This window comes from Homo sapiens, chromosome 6 (assembly GCF_000001405.40).
Source record: "Homo sapiens chromosome 6, GRCh38.p14 Primary Assembly".
In the NCBI taxonomy this organism is placed as follows: domain Eukaryota; kingdom Metazoa; phylum Chordata; class Mammalia; order Primates; family Hominidae; genus Homo; species Homo sapiens.
The window spans coordinates 63028929-63052435 of record NC_000006.12 but is presented as its reverse complement, the minus strand read 5'-3'; positions in this window follow the sequence as shown (position 1 = coordinate 63052435).

Here is a 23507-nt window from a genome sequence, read left to right as displayed (position 1 = left end):
CGAATTTTAAAATAGTTTTTTCAAGTTCTATGAAGATTGTCATTTTCAAAAGAAGACATACATGTGACCAACAAGCATGTAAAAAAAGTGCAACATGTAAAAACAAAAACAAAAACAAAAAACAAAACAAACAAAACAGATACTAGCAAGGCTGTAGAAAAAAGGGAATGCTTATCACTGTTGATGGGATTATAAATTAGTTCAACCATTGTGGAAAACAGTGTGGTGATTCCTCAAAGAGCTAAACATAGAACCTCCATTCAACCCAGCAATTCAATTATGGTGCATATACCCAAGAGAATATAAATTATTCGATTATAAAGACACATGCATATGTTCATTGCAGCACTATTCACAATAGCAAAGACATGGAATCAACCTAAATGTGCACCAGTGGTAGACTGGATAAAGAAAATATTTTACATATACACCGTGAAATACTATGTAGCCATAAAAAAAGAACAAGTTCATGTCCTTTCCAGGAACATGGAGGGAGCTAGAGACCATTACCCTTAGCAAACTAAGGTGGGAACAGAAACCAAATACCACATGTTCTCACTTATAAGTGGGAGCTAAATGATGAGGACACGTGGACACATGGAGGGGAACAACACACATTGGGGCCTATGGGAGGGTGGAAGGTGGGAGGAGAGAGAGGATCAAGAAATATAACTGATGGGTACTAGACTTAATACCTAGGTGATGAAATAATCTGTACAAAAAAGGTCCATGACATACATTTACCTGTGTAACAAACCTGCACATCCTGCACATGTATGCCAAACTTAAAATAAAAGTTAAAAATTTTTTTCTTCAGCGTAAATATACCAGGCATTTGCTTAACTAGATCACTTAGAATCATTATGGTAAGTTCATTTGCTTAATCAATATAAGGAACCACAACAAGATATTCTTCAGCTTTCCCCTTTCTCTTTAGAAATGAAAAGTTTTAGTTCAATAATTATAAACAAATTCTATTTAAGGAAAACACATGTAGAATTGGGCTCAGTTCCAACAAGAATTTGTCTAATCTAGGTTAATTGTTTTTGTTAAAACGAATTAGAAATTTAGTCTCTTTTTACATGTGTATATACATTGGCAGTAGCATCAGTCTGCAAGTAGATTGAAAATATATCAACTATATATTGACAAATGTTTCTAATTATTTAGTTTCTATTTTATGGTATTTTGTTTTAATCAGCATAGGTTACTTAATAGCTTCTGCACAGCAAAAGAAACTATTAACAGAGTAAACAGCCTACACAATGAAAGAAAATTTCTGCAAACTATGCATCTGACAAAGGTCTAATATCTAGCATCTATAAAGAACGTAAGCAATTTACAAGAAAAAAAAACATAAAAAACCATTAAAAAGTGGCCAAGAGATATGAACAGAAACTTTTCAAAAGAAAATTCTTTATGTTTGGTGGCATTTCAAATGTATTATAAATTGCTATTTGTTTTTATCTTTATGACTAAAGTTTAGTGATAGAATTTCTTATATTAGCTTTTTATGTGTATGGTGATTCCATTTCTGTCACCTAATAATTATCAATCTCTAAGTGACCTTTGTGGTTCTGCTACCACATTTCTAAAGTAAGTATATTATGGTACCTAACATTTTAGTTTCTTATGAGAAAGAGATAATAAGCCAACACTTTCAGAAAAATGTCTGGCTTATAGTAATAATTTTTTTTTACAATTATATCCAATATTAATATCATGATCATCATCATCACAAGTATTGATTCACTTATTAATTTGTGACAGTATATAGGTCATTAAACTTGGGTTTAATTATTTTGGTCCTCCACTAATTAGATATATAACATAGGGAAAGGCACTTAAATCTTCTGGGCCTTATTTCTTCATCTGTAAAGTGAAACTAACTATAAGGGTCTACAGTGCTGTACAACATAGCTTTTTCCTATATACGTTCACTAGCTGCACAAGGAACACAAGGAACTGAATATTACTTCTAAATAGGGCCATGTGGCTGGTAGTTATCATGTCAGAAAATGCTGATCTATAATATTCCAAGATTCTAAATTTAAGTACATTCATCAACAAAACAAGACAATAACTGGAAAAAGTAGTTTTTAGACCCATGATATTCATTTATTCCCAGAAGTGGTCAGCTTTCAGGGAGTATCTGAGGTGCGGGTATTATTGGGCTGAGAGGGCCTTACTTGTTTTCACTTATACACAAGTCAATTTATTTTTCCATTAAATTTGCATATTTTAATGATGAGTGACCACTTTCTTAATGAAGTCTATGCTTGTTTTGTGTGTGTGTGTGTGTGTGTGTGTGTATGTGTTTTCTGTTTTTTTTTTTTTTGAGACAGAGTCTCGTTCTGTCAGCAGGCTGGAGAGCAGTGTCGTGATCTTGGCCTCTTGAGTTCCAGTGATTCTTATGTCTCAGCCTCCCAAGTGTCTGGAACTACAGGTGTGTGCTACCACACCCAGCTAATTTTTTTGCATTTTCAGTAGAGATGGGCTTTTGCCATGTTGGCCAGGCTGGTCTTGGCCTCAAGTGATCTACCCACCTTGGCGGCCCAAAGTGTTGGCATTATAGATGTGAGCCACCATGCCTGGCCTATGCTTGTGGTTTTAATTGAGATATTTTAAAATCTGGTGATTGTACTGAAGTTGGCTCAGAAAAGCCATCCTATGTTCATAGAAATAAACCTATGTTTTCATCAGAAATAAACCTATATTTATTTCATCAGAAATAAACCTATATTTATTTCATCAGAAATAAACCTATGTTAATAGTGAAAAATATAGGCTTATACAATAGTGGCATTTCTACCCTGGATACACATTAGAATTACTTGGGAGATGGGTGCTTTTAAAATCCTGTTTTTTGAATCCCATTCTCAGATTCTTATTTACTTGGTATAAGATGGGGCCATGCATTGGAATGTTTTCAGGTGATTCAAATAGGCAGTTAGGGTGAGAACCACTAGCTAAAACGTTTGGGGGAGAGTAGCATAACATCAATTGTCACAGCATTCCAGGAACTGGGGCCATGAGCTGTTATGTAAATTTCAGAGTCACATTTGTCAAATCTCGGTATGTGTAGAATTCCCTTAGGGGCTTAGAGGAATCTTCATTTTGTCAGGTGCGCCAGAGATTCTGATGCAGAAGGAGCTTGAGAAGTGAAAGATCTCTACAATGAGAACACAAAACACTGGTGAAAAAAATCATAGATGACACTAACAAATGGAAAACCATCCCATGTGCACAGATTGGAAAAATCAATATCAACAAAGTGGCCATACTGCCCAAAGCAATTCAGCGCTATTCCTATCATACTACCAATGTCACTTTTCACAGAAATAGAAAACTATTCTGAAATTCACATGGAACCAAAAAAGAGCCCAAATAGATAAGGCAATGCTAAGAAAAAAAAAAAAAAGGTGGAGGCAGCACATTACCTGACTTCAAACTATACTATCAGGCTATTCACAATAGCAAAGATGTGGAATCAACCTAAATACCCATCAACAGTGGATTGGATAAATAAAATGTGGTACATATATACCAATGGAATACTATGCATCCATAAAAAAGAATGACACCATGTCCTTTGCAGCAACATGGATGCAGCTAGAGGTCATTATTCTAAGAAAATTAATGCAGAAGTAGGAAAACGAATACCACGTGTTCTGACTTCTAAGTGGTTGTTAAATGTACACATGGACATAAAGATGAGAACAATAGACACTAGGGACTACTACAGGGGAGATGAAGAGGGGAACAAGGGTTGAAAAACTATCTGGTACTATGCTCAGTATCTGGGTGATGAGATCGGTCATATCATAAACCTCAGCATCACAAAATATACACATGTAACAAACCTGTGGATATGCCCCCTGAATCTAAAATGAAAGTTGAAATTATTTTAAAAAATAAATTTTTAAAAAGAAGGAGTTTGGATTACATGTTGAGAAGCATTGTTTTACAGCACAGTCATATTTTCTGCCAACTTGTTAAGCTTGAGATAAGATATAAAATAAATAAGTGAAAGAATTTTGACTACCTTAAAATACTACGTAAATGTGTAGTATTTCATATTTGTTAGATTTGGAATTCTTGGAAAAGTGGCTTTGAATTGAGTACAGTGTCAGATGAGATGGTGATATTGTGGTTGGTATTAGCAGAGATAGCACATGTTAATGAATGTGGTCTGGAAGGAAAAAATGAGCCTCCTCTTTTTTTTTTTAGTTTTATTATTATTATACTTTAAGTTTTAGGGTACATGTGCACAATGTGCAGGTTTGTTACATATGTATACATGTGCCATTTTGGTGTGCTGCACCCATTAACTCACCATTTAGCATTAGGTCGGAGCCTCCTGTTAATGAATGTGGTCTGGAAGGAAAAAATGAGCCTCCTCTATTTGCCTCTTTAGTAATGGATGGTGACATCATTCCTTTCTAGTTGTCACTGTGGAAATTTAAATAGGAAAAGAAGGCTTTGGTTTATAGCCTATGGCAATGACATTTTTGGTCACTGGTTGTCTTCTAAGAGGTATTCTTAGGTGCCCTTTGTTACTATAGTAAATTTAAAGTGACCCAGTTCTGATTCCAAGCCTTTTCAAAGTAAGAAATCTTATTTTGTCTGAAAGCCTATGCAATCATTGGGTGCTGTATTTTTGTTAACTGAATTAACTCAAGTGATATAAACAAAGAATTCGAATTTATTCATTCAAAATGATAAATTATTACTACATTGAGCATAACACTCATGTCCCAATGATTAATGCATTTTATTTCTGTTGACTCATGAACATGAGAAACAAAACCATAATCTAAGTTTGCTTACTAGATATGAAATGCAAATGAAGAGAACATTTGGATTAATTGAACTGTTATTCCATCAGACTAAAAAGAGATAGAAGCTTCCATATCACACTTAGACGTTCTTATAATGAATCAGATCACTTGCAGTCCAAAAACTAGTTTTCCTTTCCCTTTGGCAGTGCTAAGATGGACACTCAATATTTTCTTCTGTGGCTTTCCTTCCATCATGCTTTCATAGCTAGTTAACCTTTTTTAAAAATAGGTATATGATTACTCTAGACATGGTAATGCATTTGGCAGGGTTTGAGTCTTCTTTTAGCACAGTCTCATTGAGGTTGCAAAGAATAGTCATTCTCAGATTTCCACAGGTGATATTGAATGCAGGTTTATTATAGGAGTTCAAGGAAAGAATAATTTTGTAGCTGGTATCAGTCAGAATCTATTAATCACAGCATCTCTATTCACTAATCATATGAATATGCTCCCAGAAGTGGTCTTTTATAATGTCAACTTAAGCATTTCTTTTACTTTTTTAATTTTTATTTTTTTAGATACAGGATTTCTCCCTGTCACCCAGGCTAAAATGCAGTGGCACATCTTTGCTCACCATAACCTCAAACTCCTGGGCTCAAGTGATCCTCCTACCTCAGCCTCCCACATAACTGGTACAGGTGCATGTTATCGTGCCCAGTTAGTTTTTAAATTTTTGATAAAGACAGGGTCTCGCTGTGTTGCCAAGACTGGTCTCTAACTCCTGGCCTCAAGTGATCCTCTTGCCTTTGCCTCTCAAAGTGCTGGGATTGTATTGCAGACATGAGCTACCACGCCTGGCTAGCATTTCTAAATATAGTTGTAAACCATCTTTTCTTTATATTTCTCTTTTATTATCTTTGGTTCTCTCTGAATGTCTCACAAGCAATATGTCTTGGAGAGAATATGATTTGCTGGGTTTCTTACTAACATCAGACACTCATATTGTATAGGATTCCCAGACTATCTCTCTTCATAAGCCATTTCTCTCCTATATGTTCAGTGTATGGATGGCTGCCTTTGTTAGAATGCTTATCTATGGGTCTCAACAAAAAAGGAATGGATACTCATGAACCAATTCCTGGTTTAGACAGCTTCCCTCACAAGAGGGCTATGGACCTGTCAGGCACTGATGTCTTCACAGCCTTTATAGCTCGCATCAAGTACTGAAGTCCTATGAGCAAGTCTGTCTTTCTGAGGTGCTTTGTAACCCTTTCCTCTGATCAATTATGTATTGATTTTAAAATTAAAATCTCAGAGAGCAATCTTATTTTCTTTATAAGTTCTTGGGGGAATGTCCCTTTAATACTGCAACAGAGATTAAATTCATCCAAGTTATTTTAAACAGTATTGATAGATCTAGCAAGATAAATCAGATATAAAATCTGGTCAAAGTAATCAGAGAATAAAAAAATTACTACAAAATGGAACTTATGTAAAATCCAAGATACTTAATGGAAAATCTTTCCAATCATTTTTAACATTGTGATTATCATTTAGATGAGGTTCCATATGAAAATAATATAAAGTCAAGTTAACATATCATGGGACAAAATAGGAATTACTACTATCAAAATTGAAAAATATGTCACTTAATTCATTAAAAAAAGGAATGAATTCCTATTATGAAGTAAAATATCCTTCTTATTCTTTATTAAACAGTATAAATTTTAAAGAAACACAAATCTACATGAACCCAAAGTTGGTATATGTTCCATATTTTATAAATATTAAATTTTGAATCCAAAGTCAAATGCTGCATGTAATAATATTCAGTAAATTTTTAATAAATGTGTCGATTAAATTTTTAAAGGAAATAAATATTAATATAATGTATCCACTGCCATTTGAATGTTCTCAAATCACTTATTAATTATCCTTCTGATGAATTTAATTTTTATGCAGTCTATCTTATAGGTATATGTCATGTTGAACAAAAAAAAAATATTTTTATATTTAAGGCAGATAGTCCCAGATCCTTGTAACTTTGACACTTGCTATCATTGTAAAACCATTTCAGTATCTTATTTCAGTATCAAGGATCTCAAGAGGTAAGTGGAAATGAGAAGCAAATTCCCAATTAAGTTTAATCAATTTTGTGTTTTAACCAGCACTCTCTTTCAAATATTCTACATATGAATGCTTTGTGTTGCTCTTTGATGTGGGTATAAATGTCAATATAAGTAAATAGAGTAGTCCCTCGGTATCCAGGGGAGAAATTGATTCCAAGACCTCCCTTGGATGCCCAAATCCATGAATGCACAAGTCTGAGATAGAAAATGGCATAATATTTTCTTATAACCTAAGCATATACTCCTATATACTTTAAATAATCTCTAGATTACTTATAACACCTAATATGATGTCAGTACTATGTAAATATTTTTATACTGTATTGTTTAGGGAATACGACAAGAAAGAAAAGCCTGTACATGTTCAATACAGATGCATCTTTTTCTCAAATATTTGAATATAGTAATATTTGGACTGTGGTTGGTTGAATTCACGGATTGATACAAGAGGCCAACTGTACTCCGACTGTGGCTGTAAATCTAATTTGTTATACATCCACTTTATTTTATTTTTTACTTTTATTTTTTTGAGATAGAGTCTCACTCTGTCACCCAGGCTGGAATGCAGTGGCACATCTTGGCTCACTGCAACCTCCAACTCCAGGTCCAAGCAATTCTCGTGCCTCAGCCTCTCAAGTAGCTGGGACCACAGGTGAAAGCCACCATGTCAGGCTAATTTTTGTAATTTCAGTAGATACGGGGTTTCACCATGCTGCCCAGGCTGGTCTCAAACTCCTGACCTAAGATGATCCACCTGGTTCGGCCTATCAAAGTGCTGGAATTACAGGTGTGAGCCATTGCAACCAGCATGTACATCACTTTGTTCAGGATATAGTAACATTGAAATAAATGATTTTTAAAATAAGAGCAAAGAAAATGTTTTTCCTCCCAGAAGGGAGCAACATTCATATGAAGGCCAACAACCATATGAAGGAAAGCTCAATATCACTTATTGTTAGAGAAATGCAAATCAATGGTACAATGAGATATCGTCTCACACCAGTCAGAATGGCTACTATGAAAATAAAAAAATAGATGCTGGTGAGGTTGTAGAGAAAAAAGGAACACTTATACACTGTTGGTGGGAGTGTAAATTAGCTCAACCATTGTAGAATACAGTCTAGTGATTCCTCAAAGATCTAGACAGAAATACCATTCAACCCAACAATCCCATTACTGGGTATATATCAAAAGGAATATAAATCATTCTATCATAAACACACATGCATGCATATGTTCACTGCAGCACTATTCACAATAGCAAAGATATGGAATCAACTTACATGCCCACCAATAAAAGCAAGAATAAAGAAAATATGGTACATGTACACCATGGAATACTATGCAGACATAAAAAGAATGGTATCATGTCTTTTACAGGGACATGGATTGAGCTGGTGGCCATTATCCTTAGCAAAGTAATGCAGGAACAGCAAACCAAATACCACATGTTCTCACTTATAAATGGGAGCTAAACGATGAGAACACACGAACACATGGAGGAAAACAACACACACTGGGGCTTATGGGAGGATGCAAGATGGGAGGAGGGAGAGAATTAGGAAAAATAACTAATGGGTACTGAGCTTAATGTCTGGGTGATGAAATAATCTGTACAAAAAAAAAGCCCATGACACCATTTACCTATGTGACAAACCTGCACATCCTGCACATGTATTCTAAACTTAAAATAAACATTAAAAAAGGATACAAAAATAAACAAGCATGCATAACTTTAACTTTTAGTATTGCAACTTTTTACAGAATACTCTGTTACATAAATGAATTAAGTGTACTATTTTGTTTAACAGCATTTTTACTGTTGTTCTCCAATCAAATCTATAACATAAAATCTTTAAAATCAGGCAAACTGGTACTGGACACTGCAAAACATACCAAATTGCAAAGACCATCGACACTCTGAGGAAACTGCATCAACTAGTAGGCAAAATAACCAGCTAGCATCATAATGACAGGATCAAATTCACACATAACAATATTAACCTCAAATCTAAATGGGCTAAATGACCCAATTAAAAGACACAGACTGGCATATTAGATAAAGAGTCAAGACCCATCGGTGTGCTGTATTCAGAAGGCCCATCTCAAAATAAAGGGATGGAGGAATATTTACCAAGCAAATGGAAAGCAAATAAAATAAAATAAAATAAAATAAAAGCAGGGGTTGCAATCCTAGTCTCTAATAAAACAGACTTTAAACCAACAAAGATAAAAAATGACAAAGAAAGGCATTACATAATGGTCAAGGGATTAATGCAACAAGAAGAGCTAACTATCCTAAATATATACGCACCCAATACAGGAGCGCCAGATTCATAAAGCAAGATCTTAGAGACCTACAAGGAGACTTAGACTCCCATACAATAATAGTGGGAGACTTTAACACCCCACTGTCAATATCAGACAGATCAATGAGATAGAAAATTAACAAGGATATTCAGAAATTGAACTCAGATGTGGACCAAGCAGACCTAATAGATATCTACAGAACTCTCCACCCCAAATCAACAGATTATACATTCTTCTCAGCAACACATCACACTTATTCTAAAATTGACCACATAATTGGAAGTAAAACACTCCTCAGAAAATGCAAAAGAATGGAAATCATAACTAACAGTCTCTCAGAACATAGTGCAATCAAATTAGAACTCAGGATTAATAAATTCACTCAAAACTGCACAACTACATGGAAACTGAACAACCTGCTCCTGAATGACTACGGTAAATAACGAAATTAAGGCTGAAATGGATAAGTTCCTTGAAAGCAATGAGAACAAAGAGACAACATACCAGAATCTCTGGAACACATTTAATGCAGTTTTTAGAGGGAAATTTATAGCACTAAATGTTCACAGGAGAAAGACAGAAAGATCCAAAATTGACCCCCTAACATCACAATTAAAAGAACTAGAGAAGCAAGAGCGAACAAATTCAAAAGCTAGCAGAAGATAAGAAATAACTAAGATCAGAGCGGAACTGAAGGAGATAGAGACACAAAAAAACCCTTAAAAAAATCATTGAGCCCAGAAGCTAGCTTATTGAAAAGATTAACAAAATAGATAAACCACTAGCCAGACTAATAAAGAAGAAAAGAGAGAAGAATCAAACAGACACAATAAAAAATGATAAAGGGGAGATCACCACTGACCCCACAGAAATACAAACTACCATCAGGGAATACTATAAACACCTCTAAGCAAATAAACTAGAAAATCTAGAAGAAATGGATAAATTTCTGGATACATACACCCTACCAAGACTAAACCAGGAAGCTGTTGAATCCCTGAATAGATCAATAGCAAGTTCTGAAATTGAGGCAGTAATTAATAGCCTACCAACCAAGAAAAGCCCAGGACCAGATGGATTCACAGCCAAATTCTACCGGAGGTACAAAGAGGAGCTGGTACCATTCTTTCTGAAACTATCCAAAGAGTGTAAAATGAGGGACTCCTCTCTAACTCATTTTATGAGGCCAGCATCATCCTGATACCAAAACCTGGCAGAGACACAACAAAAAAAGAAAATTTCAGACCAATATACCTGATGAACATCTATGTAAAAATCCTCAATAAAATACTGGCAAACCAAATCCAGCAGAATATCAAAAAGCTTATCCACCATGATCACGTTGGCTTCATCCCTGAGATGCAAGGCTGGTTCAACATATGCAAATCAATAAACATAATTGGTCACATAAACAGAAGCAATGACAAAAATCACATGATTATCTCAGTAGATGCAGAAATGACCTTCGATAAAATTCAACACCCCTTCACACTAAAAACTCTCAATAAACTAGGTATTGATGGAACAGATCTTAAAATAATTAGAGCTACTTATGACAAACCCACAGCCAATATCATACTGAATGGGCAAAAACTGGAAGCATTCCCTTTGAAAACTGGCACAAGACAAGGATGCCCTCTCTCACAACTTCTATTCAACATAGTATTGGAAATTTTGACCAGGGCAATCAGGCAAGAGAAAGAAATAAAGGGTATTCAATTAGGAAAAGAGGAAGTCAAATTGTCCCTGTTTGCAGATGACATGATTGTATATGTAGAAAACCCCATTGTCTCAGCTCAAAATCTCCTTAAGCTGATAAGCAACTTCAGCAAATTCTCAGGATAGAAAATCAATGTGCAAAAATCACAAGCATTCCTATATACCAGTAGCAGAGAAACAGAGAGCCAAATCATGATTGAACTCCCATTCACAATTGCTACAAAGAGAATAAAATACCTAGGAATCCAACTTAAAGGGATGTGAAGGACCTCTTCTAGGGGAACTACAAACCACTGCTCAAAGAAATAAGAGAGGACACAAACAAATGGAAAAACATTCCATGCTCATGGATAGAAAGAATCAATATTGTGAAAATGGCCACCCTGCCCAAAATAATTTATAGATTCAATGATATCCCCATCAAGCTACCATTGACTTTCTTCACAGAATTAGAAAACTCTACTTTAAATTTCATATAGAACCAAAAGAGAACCTGTATAGCAAAGACAATCCTAAGCCAAAAGAACAAAGCTGTAGGCATCATGCTACCTGACTTCAAACTATACTGCAAGGCTACAGTAATCAAAACAGCATGGTCCTGGTTCAAAAACAGATATATAGACCAATGGAATAGAACAGAGGCCTCAGAAATAACATCACACATCTACAAACATCTGATCTTTGACAAACCTGACAAAAACAAGAAATGGGGAAAGGATTCCCTATTTAATAAATGGTGCTGGGAAAACTGGCTAGCCATATGTAGAAAGCTGAAACTGGATCCCTTCCTTACACTTTACATAAAAATTAATTCAAGATGGATTAAAGACTTAAATTTTAGACCTAAAACCACAAAAGCCATAGAAGAAAACCTAGGCAATGCCATCCAGGACATAGGCATGGGCAATGAATTCATGACTAAATCACCAAAAGCAGTGGCAACAAAAGACAAAATTAACAAATGGGATCTAATTAAACTAAAGAGCTTCTGCATGGCAAAAGAAACTACCATCAGAGTGAACAGGCAACCTATAGAATGGAAGACAATTTTTGCAACCTACCCATCTGACAAAGGTCTAATATCCACAATCTACAAATAACTTAAACAAATTTATGAGAAAACAACCCCATCAAAAAGTGGGCAAAGGATATGAACAGACACTTCTTAAAAGAAGACATTTATGCAGCCAAAAACATGAAAAAAAGGTCATCATCACTGGTCATTAGACAAATGCAAATCAAAACCAAAATGAGATATCATCTCACACCAGTAGAATGGAGATCAATAAAATGTCAGGAAACAACAGATGCTGGAGAGGATGTGAAGAAATAGAAATGCTTTTACACTGTTGGTGGGAGTGTAAATTAATTCAACCATTGTGGAAGACAGTGTGGTGATCCTCAAGGATCTAGAGCCAGAACTACCATTTGATCCAGCAATCCCATTACTGGAGATAACCCAAAGGATTATAAATCATTCTACTATAAAGAAACATGCACACGTATATTTATTACAGCACTGTTCACAATAGCAAAGACTCAGAACCAACCCCAATGCCCATCAGTGATAGACTGGATAAAGAAAATGTGGCACACATGCACCATGGAATACCATGCAGCTATAAAAAAGGATGAGTTCATGTCCTTTGCAGGGACATGGATGAAGCTGGAAACCATCATTCTCAGCAAACTGATACAAGAACAGAAAACCAAACACCGCATGTTCTCACTCATAAGTGGGAGTTGAACAAAGAGAATACATGGACACAGGGAGGGGAGCATCACACACTGAGGCCTGTCGGGGGGTCAGGGGTTATGAGAGGGATAGCATTAGGAGAAATACCTAATGTAGATGATGGGTTGATGGGTGCAGCAAACCACCATGGCACGTGTATACCTATGTAACAAACCTGCTCATTCTGCACATGTATCACAGAACTTAAAGTACAATAACGAAAAAGAAAGAATAAGATAAAAAAACAAAATTTGATTTTGCCAGGACACTCAGAATGTATCAGGCTCAGTGATAAACTCACATGAATCAAGCTCACAAAAGACTCATCTATAAAACAGATTGCTAATGCATTAATTCAAATGAAATAGAACTTCTAATGCTCAAGAATATTCTTATCAGCTGGTCAGTATATCTTCACTTTAGCAATAAAGCTTTATGTGGAGCAATATCATCAGAATATTGCTTCATGAGCAAGAGCAACCAGGAAGATGATCATAATAGGGTTAAAAGATTGCAATGGTCTGAGGTAGCCACAAGAGATATACGTCCCTCTCCTTGGATAGCCCTGAAACTACTCTTGTGTGTTCTTGCTGTTTTATTATCCTTTTGGTGGACTCTATATAGAATTTCTGCCTTCACTCAGCATATTGTTATTTATCTTCCAAAATGCTAAAACAAGGTAGATTAGATTGTCTTTCTTGTATATCAGTAGTATTGTATTAATGCCTTCTAAAGTTTATTCATAAGTTCCTTGACTACATTTCAGCAATGTGTTTTTTATTCTAATTTCATTTAGGAAGGGTTTTTCTCATGGCAATGAACTGTGTATTAGCATGGGGATGTTAGTTGCTGTTTTTGCAAATAGCTGATTTCATATGTTACAGTTTTAAGTCCAATTATCTTAAATTATTATGAAACTGTTAAATATAATTTAACATGAACCTGTGTGTGTAGTATGTTTTGTAATAAAGCAAAATGGTTTAAAATGTACAAAAATATATACAGAAAAAAATGAATAGAATACTTCATGTTTTGAGCCATAATTTTCAATAAGCATAATCTATATAATCTGTATTTGGTACAAACAACTATCTGGTACAAATAGTTAAAAAATGAGATATATATTACAATTTTAAATACTTGTACTAAACACTTTGCTATTACATAGACCCACCAATTTTTATGCAAATACTTACCAAAAAATTACCATAGCTATTTATTATGATGTTTAAAAATTTTACTTACTAACATTAACTCATAAAAACAGCAGCCTCTGATGAGTAATGTGCTAGTTTTGCTGCCTTTTAAAATTATCTTTACATAGAAATATTAGGTCTTTTAACAAGATACGCTCTTCTTTTTTTGGCTCTGAAACCAAAGCATTAACAAATTTCGAGATTGGACAAAAAATAATTTATCATTAATTACTTTTTAAATAGTAATTTTTAATTAGCAATAATTATTTTTCTGTGAACTAATACTGATAGATTGTGCATATATCTGTTAGAAATGTGTAGAAATATATAATTTTATCTTGAATTATTACTTTAGTTATTAATTTTATTTATTATTGCTATTATAATTATTATTTATTGTTATCAAGAGAGAAGTGTGAATTACAATAACCTTTTTAAAAAATGATTTGACATACCTATTAAAATTTAAAATATGCATTTCTTTTGACCTAGCAATCCCACTTTTAGAAATATGTTTTTCAGAAATAAAAGCTTCAGTATATTAGAATACGTGTACAAAGAAGTTCAGTGAATATATGATTTATTATTTTAAAAATAACAATCTGAAAGTTATCTGATACATCAAAGGATGGGATATCATGGAATCATTTCTTTTTAATTTTTAATTGTAATTTTTAATGGTTCATAGTAGGTGTATATATTTATGTGGTACATGAGATACTTTGATATAGGCACACAATGCGTAGTAATCACATCATGTAAAATGTGGTACTCATCTGCTCAAGCATCTATCCTTTGTGTTACAAACAATCCAGTTATACTCTTTTGATTATTTTAAAATGTACAATTAACTTATTAATGACTATCATCACCCTGTTGTGCTCTCAAATACTAGGTCTTATTCATTCTTTCTTTTTTTTTGTACCCATTATCCAAACTCACTTCTCCCCCTCTACCCTACCACTACTTTTCCCAGCCTCTGGTAATCATCGTTCTACTCTTTATCTCTATTAGTTTATTTGCTTTAATTTTTAGATCCCACAAGTAAGTGAGAACTTGTAATATTTGTCTTTCTGTGCCTGCCTTATTTCACTTAGCATAATGACCTCCAGTTCTATTCGTGTTGTTGCAAATGACAGGATCTAATTTTTTGTATGTCTGAATAGTACTCCACTATGTATAAGTACCACATTTTCATTATTCATTCATCTACTGATGGATACTTAGGTTGCTTCCAAATTTTGGCTATTGCAAACAGTGCTGCAACAAACGTGGGAGTTCAAATATCTCTCAATATACTGATTTGTTTAAATCATAAACTATATCCAAGGGTAGTAACTTGGCAAAATATGTAAAATACAAATCACTGTGCATTGCTTTTATTTTGTTAAAAAGTAAAGAGGTATGTGAATAGATATCCCCCAATTCAGTAAATATCCCACCATTACATACAAATATATGTAAATATATATGTATACATACACACATTCCGTGGGTTAAGTGAAAGGCAGAATATGATATACATAAAATTGTTAATATATTTACTTATAAATGTAGATTGGAAGGGGTATGTGAGGAGAAACTATTAGTTGTCCTCATGTAGCTCTATATTTGGTCAATTTGTTTCAATAAGCAAGTATTTTACTTTTTTAAGTTAAAAGAGTAATTTATTAATAAATTCAATTGTTATGTCTTTCAGGTTTTTGTTTTCATTTCTCATTTAAATGTTCTTGGACTTAGTTGTATTTAATGCCAATTTTCATGACAGCTCAAAATCATTGGTAGACTTTGTTGATCATCCTGAAGCCACTCCAAACATATATAGTCCTGTAAATTTTTGTTGTTTTATTGCTTTCAAGGTGGAAATTGGTTCAATTCTTTGACACTATTTTATTCATATCCTGTCTTCTCTTATCAAGATATACTTACTGGGAGAGCAAGGCAAGAGCGAATATTTTAGGCATTGATTTGGGAGGAGGTATTGGTAATATATTAAGTGCTAGAGGGAAGAGAATTTATTGACATTTAGGCACTTATCCTTGACCTGCAACTCGATGTTCTGGGAAGGACAACTAAATCTAGTCCTAATAGACTTGTAATTGATTGAATTGTGTTCCCCACAAATTCATATCTTAAACCCCAATGTGACTATATTTGGAGATGAGTCTTAAGTAATTAAAGTTAATTGGGTCATAATGATGGGGCCCTAATCTAATAGAACTCCTGTCCTTATAAGAGGAAGAGACACCATATCTCCTCACATGTGCACTGAGGAAGGCCATGAGGGGACCCAGTGAGAATTTGCATTGTTTAAGCCACCCAGTCTGTGGTATTTGTTATAGCAGCTCAAGCAGACTAATACAAGGATTCAATGGCTTCTTGAGATATAACCTACAATAAGTAATGTGATGATACTAAAACTGATTTGCCTAATATTGAAGAAAACAGAAGGCTCAAATAGATTCTAAAAAATTAGGCTCATTATTACATGAGATCAGAAGCATTCATCTTCTATGTTTTCTAGATTGGCCTATAGGACGACTTCTTAACTAATGCAATAAACTAATGCAATAAATGATATAACACACCATATAACCCTCCATGATGAGTGATTACACTCAACCAACTACTGATACATAGTGTTGTGTTGCAAGTAGCTAGAATTCATGGGTCCAGAACCAAGGGGAAGAAATGGCATTGGGACTTCTCACCATCACTTCCTGTGACTCATCTTGCTGAATTTATTTTTCTGTCCTTGCAAACTTTTATTCTACCTGACTTTGTCCTGGTTCTCAGATTTTAGATCAACTGGATCCCTGCCTAGATTAACAGGCAAAGAAAGGAACTATTTAACTGATGACCACAAGGACATACAGTTGCTGCTAAAAATGAGAGATGAGTGGAGTGTATATGGCAGCCAGGAGCTTCATCAGAATGACTGTTGATCTTTCTATGCCCAGAGATAATGGTTAAAGAGCTATTTAAAAAGTCACGACACAGGCCAGGCATGGTGGCTCATGCTTGTAATCCCAGTTCTTTGGGAGGCTGAGGCAGGCAGATCACAAGGTCAGGAGATCAAGAACATCCTGGCCAACATGGTGAAAACCCAACTCCACTAAAAGTACAAAAATTAGCTGGGTGTGGTGGTGCGTGCCTGTAATCCCATTACTCAGGAGGCTGAAGCAGGAAAATTGCTTGAACCAGGGAGCTGGAGATTGCAATGAGCTGAGATTGTGCCACTGCACTGTAGCCTGGCCACAGAGCAAGACTCCGTCTCAAAAGAAAAAAATAAATCATGACACAAAAAAGAGTGACTCAACTAAGAGCTCAGGACATTTAAGGATGAGGGTCCAGGTGCCACAGCAGAACAGCAACACTTATTTGTTCAAATGCTATGTTGGAAGGCAAAGAATATCCAGAATCAGTGACAGAAGAGGCAGGTGATTAAAAGCACTTAACAGCCTGAGGACCAGCTACAGCAATAAGGACTGTAGTTTGGTTTATTAGCCTTCTTTCATTCAGTATTAATGAATATCGTTGCTGGCTACCCGCTGGAATAAGACTGTATGTGATAGTCTGGACCTAACGAAGGGCACAAACAGACATGAAAGGTGACATATAAGGAGAGTATTGCACATCTTTTAGAAATTACTTCAAAATTAAATCCTCTTGCCCTATTAATCTAGCCACTACCATAGCAACCTATTTCACTCAGGCATCTATTAGCTTCACACAGATGCAAGTTGACAGTGCCTTGCATTAGAAGTGCACTTCTTGATTCTTATTTCTTGCCCTGGGTCTTCCATGATGCTGAGGTGTGGGCACCCATGGGAACCTGTTTGGAAATTACAGAGAGCCCAAATATATGGACCAGATAATGCCCTGTGTGGAGGGATGGAATCTTGTTCCTAGTGGGCCTCTAGAAGCTAGAAAAGACAAGGAAACATTCTTCCCCAGGGCCTCCAGAGAGGCAGAAAGCTCTGTTTTGACTTTAGCCCAGTGAGACTAATGTCAGACTCCTGACCTACAGAGCTATAGGACAATAGATTTGTTTTGCTTTAAGCTACTGAGTTTATGAAAATTCATTACAGCTACGGAAGAAAGCTAATATGCCACTTGACCCATTTTATTTACTGATCATTTCCCCTTTACAAGGCTGCATTTACTTTCAATTGTTCTCCTTGTCTTCACCTCATTGTTAGGGTAATATTTCAGGTACTGCAATCTGGAACTCCAGACTCTTCACAATCTAAGTCCTACCTATTTTTCTATCTGTATTCCTTTTGTTCCTTAATTATACCCCTGTAACCCAACAAGTTTAGTAATGTATTTGCCAAATACGTCTTCAGAATTCGAGCCTCTTAGGGCAGAGGTTTTTCTTTTCTACAATCATCATCAATGTGTATTTTATGCCATGTCTCTATATATATAGACATGAAAAATATATGTATTTCATGTCTATATACATGTATAGACAGAGAGAGAATGAATACGTGTTAAATTAGTGTTTTTTCAAACTAAATCATACATAGAAGCTCTATATGTAAATTAAATAAATGAAGAACTATTTGGAGGGAGCAGGTAGGGGGTCCAGAACCCCACTAGCTCAAGCTCCTCAAGAATAGACCAAACCTGTTGTCCACAGACAACAAAGGTTGGCTGGTCGGTCAGTCAGTCTCTTTCTCTCTGAATTCTCTATTTTTATGGCCTCCAACTGATTAAGTTAGACCCAAGAAGACTAACCAGAATATTTGCTCTTATATATCCCTTACTTAAAGTCAACTGATCAAGAATTTTAAGTATGTCTGCAAAATCCCATTAGACACACCTTTAGATTTGTGTTTGATTGAATCACTGGGGGTTGTAGACCAGCTGAGCTGACACGTCAAGAAAGCCATCACAATAAATATAATTTAGTTTTCAAATAAGTAAGAATTTAAACTTTCTAATACAGTTAATTTATATACTAAAGGAGTATCTAAAATTTCTTTAAAATGTCCTACATCATTACAACCTTCATTACGATAATCTAGATAACATATTGTTAACATAAAACTATTTATTGGAAGTATAAACAGCACTTGTAGGTTAGTGAAATGCAGGTTAATGTTTTTATAGAGAACTGAAGTTCCAAGCTAATAGATCATTTGTTGGAGTACAAAATAGAGAACAAGGATTTTTCAGAGTATAGAAAGAAAAGCAAATCTCTTTTTAAAATCATTTAAATACACTGTGTTTAAAGGAAACTTTGAACAAGTGCATGAACAAAGATGAAAAACCTTCTACGAATTGAAGAAGCACTCTTAAAGATATATCTGTCTTCCGACAGTTCAGAGCAGGCCTAATGTACAATATGTAATCTACAAGGATTCTTATTTATGATAGAAAGCAAAGAATGACATCAGGTTTATTTACAAAAAAAAATTATTGTATACCCTCCCCAAAGAAAATTTCAATACTTAAGTACATACTTCATACTCATAATCATTTTAACAAATAATGGAAAGCTCAAGGCTTGATTGTTAACTACATCAAGATCTGACTATGAACACTGAAACCATTTGAATGTAAAGCAAAATTAACTTACAATTATAATAACAAAGTGAATGCACATACAAAATTCTTGAGAAGATCTACTTTCTTAGTAAAAAATAGCACTGTAAAGAGAAATTACAAATATTCTTTCTCAATCACTTCATGGAATTGAAAGAGTAAGAGGCAAAACTGTTCAAATTTTATCTTCAAAAACCGGATACCAAAAGAGATAAAAACTTCTTGACCTAATTTAAAAAAAAAATAGAAGATAAAAATCCCAGAAGGTATAGGCTTTTCGACCTACCCATACCTCCCAGGAACTGAACTACAAGAAGGCAACATTCTGATACTGTTCTATAATATATCCAAAAATGGGAGAAAAGAAACAGAAGAAAGTGAGTCTAGAGTGGGAAAAATCAAGTGGAAAATCGCTAAAGTATATACCTTAACCTAGCTTTGACAAAATATCTAGAACTCTACAGAGAAAAGAAAAAATCACCATGACTTGTCATTTTTCATGATGAACTTTGAGGATAAGTTAATTTGGAAAGTATGAGTCTAAGGTAAATGTCCAATTTGGTATATTGAACTCTGATATAGGATATTTTACTATTTAAATGAAATTTAAATTTCATTTAAAAAGTGTCCGCCAGGCACGGTGGCTCATGCCTGTAATCCCAGCACTTTGGGAGGTCAAGGCGGGTGGATCACCAGAGGTCGGGAGTTCGAGACCAGCCTGACCAACATGGAGAAACCCTGTCTCTACTAAAAATACAAAACTAGCCAGGCGTGGTGGCACATGCCTGTAATCCCAGCTACCCAGAAGGCTGAGGCAGGAGAATTGCTGGAACCTGGAAGGCAGAGGTTGCAGTGAGCCGAGATCGCATTATTGCACTTCATTCTGGGCAACAAGAGGGAAACTCCATCTCAAAAAAAAAAAAAAAACAAAACAAAACCAAAAACAGGGTCCTTCAACAAAGACTTTGCATACCTCCAGTAGAGAATATTTACCCAAATGAAAGGGGAAAAATAAAATCTGCAGATTGAAAGGATATATCGTGCTCTAGAAAAAATATTGTTAATCATGCCCCAGGAAATACATTTTCTCATTCTGTTATGATGTTCAAGGATAAGGAATACTTAGCGAGAAAAACAAGTCACCTTGAATAGAGAAGCTATAATAAAAGAACTAGTATCATGCTGATGACAGATGATAATGGTATAATATCTTCAAAATCTGAAGGGCGTGTATAAATCAAGAAGTTAACAAATAGCCAAGTCAAAGTACAATAAGAGTTTAATGTAACAAAGAGTAATCACCATTCAAAAAAGAAAATACTAAAATTTTGAATGCTCAAAAAAAGCAATTTACTATTTTGGTAGATAATTGTCAATCTGTAAGTCTTGCACCTGAACCAACTTCCTATTTTAAAGAAATCCTAGAAAGATGGGATTTGTCTTATCTGCAGAAAATAGACAGTATTAAATGTTTCCTTTACCCATCCGCTGACAGCTGGACCATGGACATGTGCAAGAAGCATAGCCAAATTCTCCCATCCACAACTAAGACTACTGAATGTGATGTATGTAATAGGGACATTTAGGTATTTTCATGGACTTTGGAGTAGAAGAAGAGGTATATTGTTACATGGAAATAACTTTCCAGAAGCATGGAAATGAATTTGCAGGGGCATCAAAGTACATTATCATTTCAATGTGTATCAATCATGTCAATGATCCAAGCAGTGGCAAGTATCTTCCCAGCTAACTACGGAGGAGGCTGATCACACAGCAGCATCTTGTCAATGCCTGGCCACCCTTGACTCCTGCCTGAGCCGAGTTCTCCAATCATTCTGTAAATTCTCTGAATTACTCAATACTTTTAAAATAAATTCATTCTCTCATGTTACCCAGTCAATTCAATTTCTATGTTTGCAAGCAAGAGTCTCCAATAATGTAATAACAAATTTCAGTCAAGCAAGACATGAATCAAAATTAAGACATCAAGTTTTGAGAAGATAGGCTATATTTCAACAATTCCCTTCATTTTAAATTAGTTGATTTTTCAAATTAAATGCAAATGAAGTTTAAATATATTTAACAACTTAATTTTAAAATATATATTAACTATATACTAATATATAGAAATACTATAGCATTTATATAAAACAGTGGCTATGTATCTTGTTATCTGGTTTTGTATCTGTATTTATCTTCAGAAAGGTGTCTGGAAGGATACTACAAGGCCACAGTAACCAAAACAGCATGGTATTGGTACCAAAACATACATAGACCAATGGAGCAGAACAGAGACCTCAGAAATAATACCACACATCTACAACCATCTGATCTTTGACAAACCTGACAAAAAAAAAAGCAATGGGGAAAGGATCTCCTATCCAGTAAATGGTGCTAGGAAAACTGTCCAGCCATATGCAGAAAATTGAAACTGGACCCCTTCCTTACACCTTATATAAAAATTAACTCAAGATGGATTAAAAACTTGAATGTAAAACCCCAAACCATAAAAACCCTATAAGAAAACCTAGGCAATACCATTCAGGACATAGGCATGGGCAAAGACTGCATGACAAAAATGCCAAAAGCAAGTGCAACAAAAGCCAGAATTGATAAATGGGATATTAATTTTCTATTAATGATTACTATTTTGGATTATAGGATTTCAGTTGATCGAATAAACTTCTTTGGTACTTTTCTATATTGCTTGAATACTGTATAAGACATTTATAATTTTTATATAACTAACAACATTATTATTTTTTAAGACATTAGAAAGGAAGATTTATGGGGCTTAAAACAAATAATATTTACAAGTTCTATTTTCCTCTGAGAGCACTACATGTTAGCTAAGAAAAAAGTTCTGTGATTGAGTGGCAGCATGTTTTAATAAAAAGTGCATTGTCCTAAGACGCAGGGCTTACTCAGATTCTTGACTGTGTCCTTGAAGTATTGGCTACCTTCACTGACCATTTTCTTACATGGAAAATGAACTAATCTGGCTAAATAATCTCTTTGTTTTTACATTTATAAAATTTTGTGACTAAAAATTAGAATTAATGACATACTTGAACAACATTTAACAACCTATACATGTGTATACACACATATATATTCATAGATAGTTCTATATAGAACTATAATATCTGATAAGGGTACCTTAAGTCAATGGCACATGATCTTTTTGGCCTCTTGCACAAGGAGTTTTCTGAATAATTTACTGTATTTTTCTCTGAATTAGGTCCCATATTTTATCACTAAGCTCTTTTGATAACTCCAATTTCTTTTTTTTTAATTTTATTATTATTTTACTTTAAGTTTTAGGGTACATGTAGGAAGAATCAATATCGTGAAAACGGCCATACTGCCCAAGGTAATTTATAGATTCAATGCCATCCCCATTAAGCTACCAATGACTTTCTTCACAGAATTGGAAAAAACTACTTTAAAGTTCGTATGGAACCAAAAAAGAGCCCGCATTGCCAAGTCAATCCTAAGCCAAAAGAACAAAGCTGGAGGCATCATGCTACCTGACTTCAAACTATACTACAAGGCTACAGTAACCGAAACAGCATGGTACTGCTACCAAAACAGAGATATAGACCAATGGCATAGAACAGAGCCCTCAGAAGTAATGCCACATGTCTACAACTATCTGATCTTTGACAAACCTGACAAAAACAAGCAATGGGGAAAGGATTCCCTATTTAATAAATGGTGCTGGGAGAACTGGCTAGCCATATGTAGAAAGCTGAAACTGGATCCCTTCCTTACACTTTATACAAAAATTAACAGATGGATTAAAGACTTAAACGTTAGACCTAAAACCATAAAAATCCTAGAAGAAAACCTAGGCAATACCATTCAGGACATAGGTATGGGCAAGGACTTCATGTCTAAAACACCAAAAGCAATGGCAACAGAAGCCAAAATTGACAAATGGGATCTAATTAAACTAAAGAGCTTCTGCACAGCAAAAGAAACTACCATCAGAGTGATAACTCCAATTTCAATCAGCATTTAAACAAATCCTCCAAGAAAAAAAGATCTCCTACTATTTATTTGTCAAGTTCCTTTACAGTCT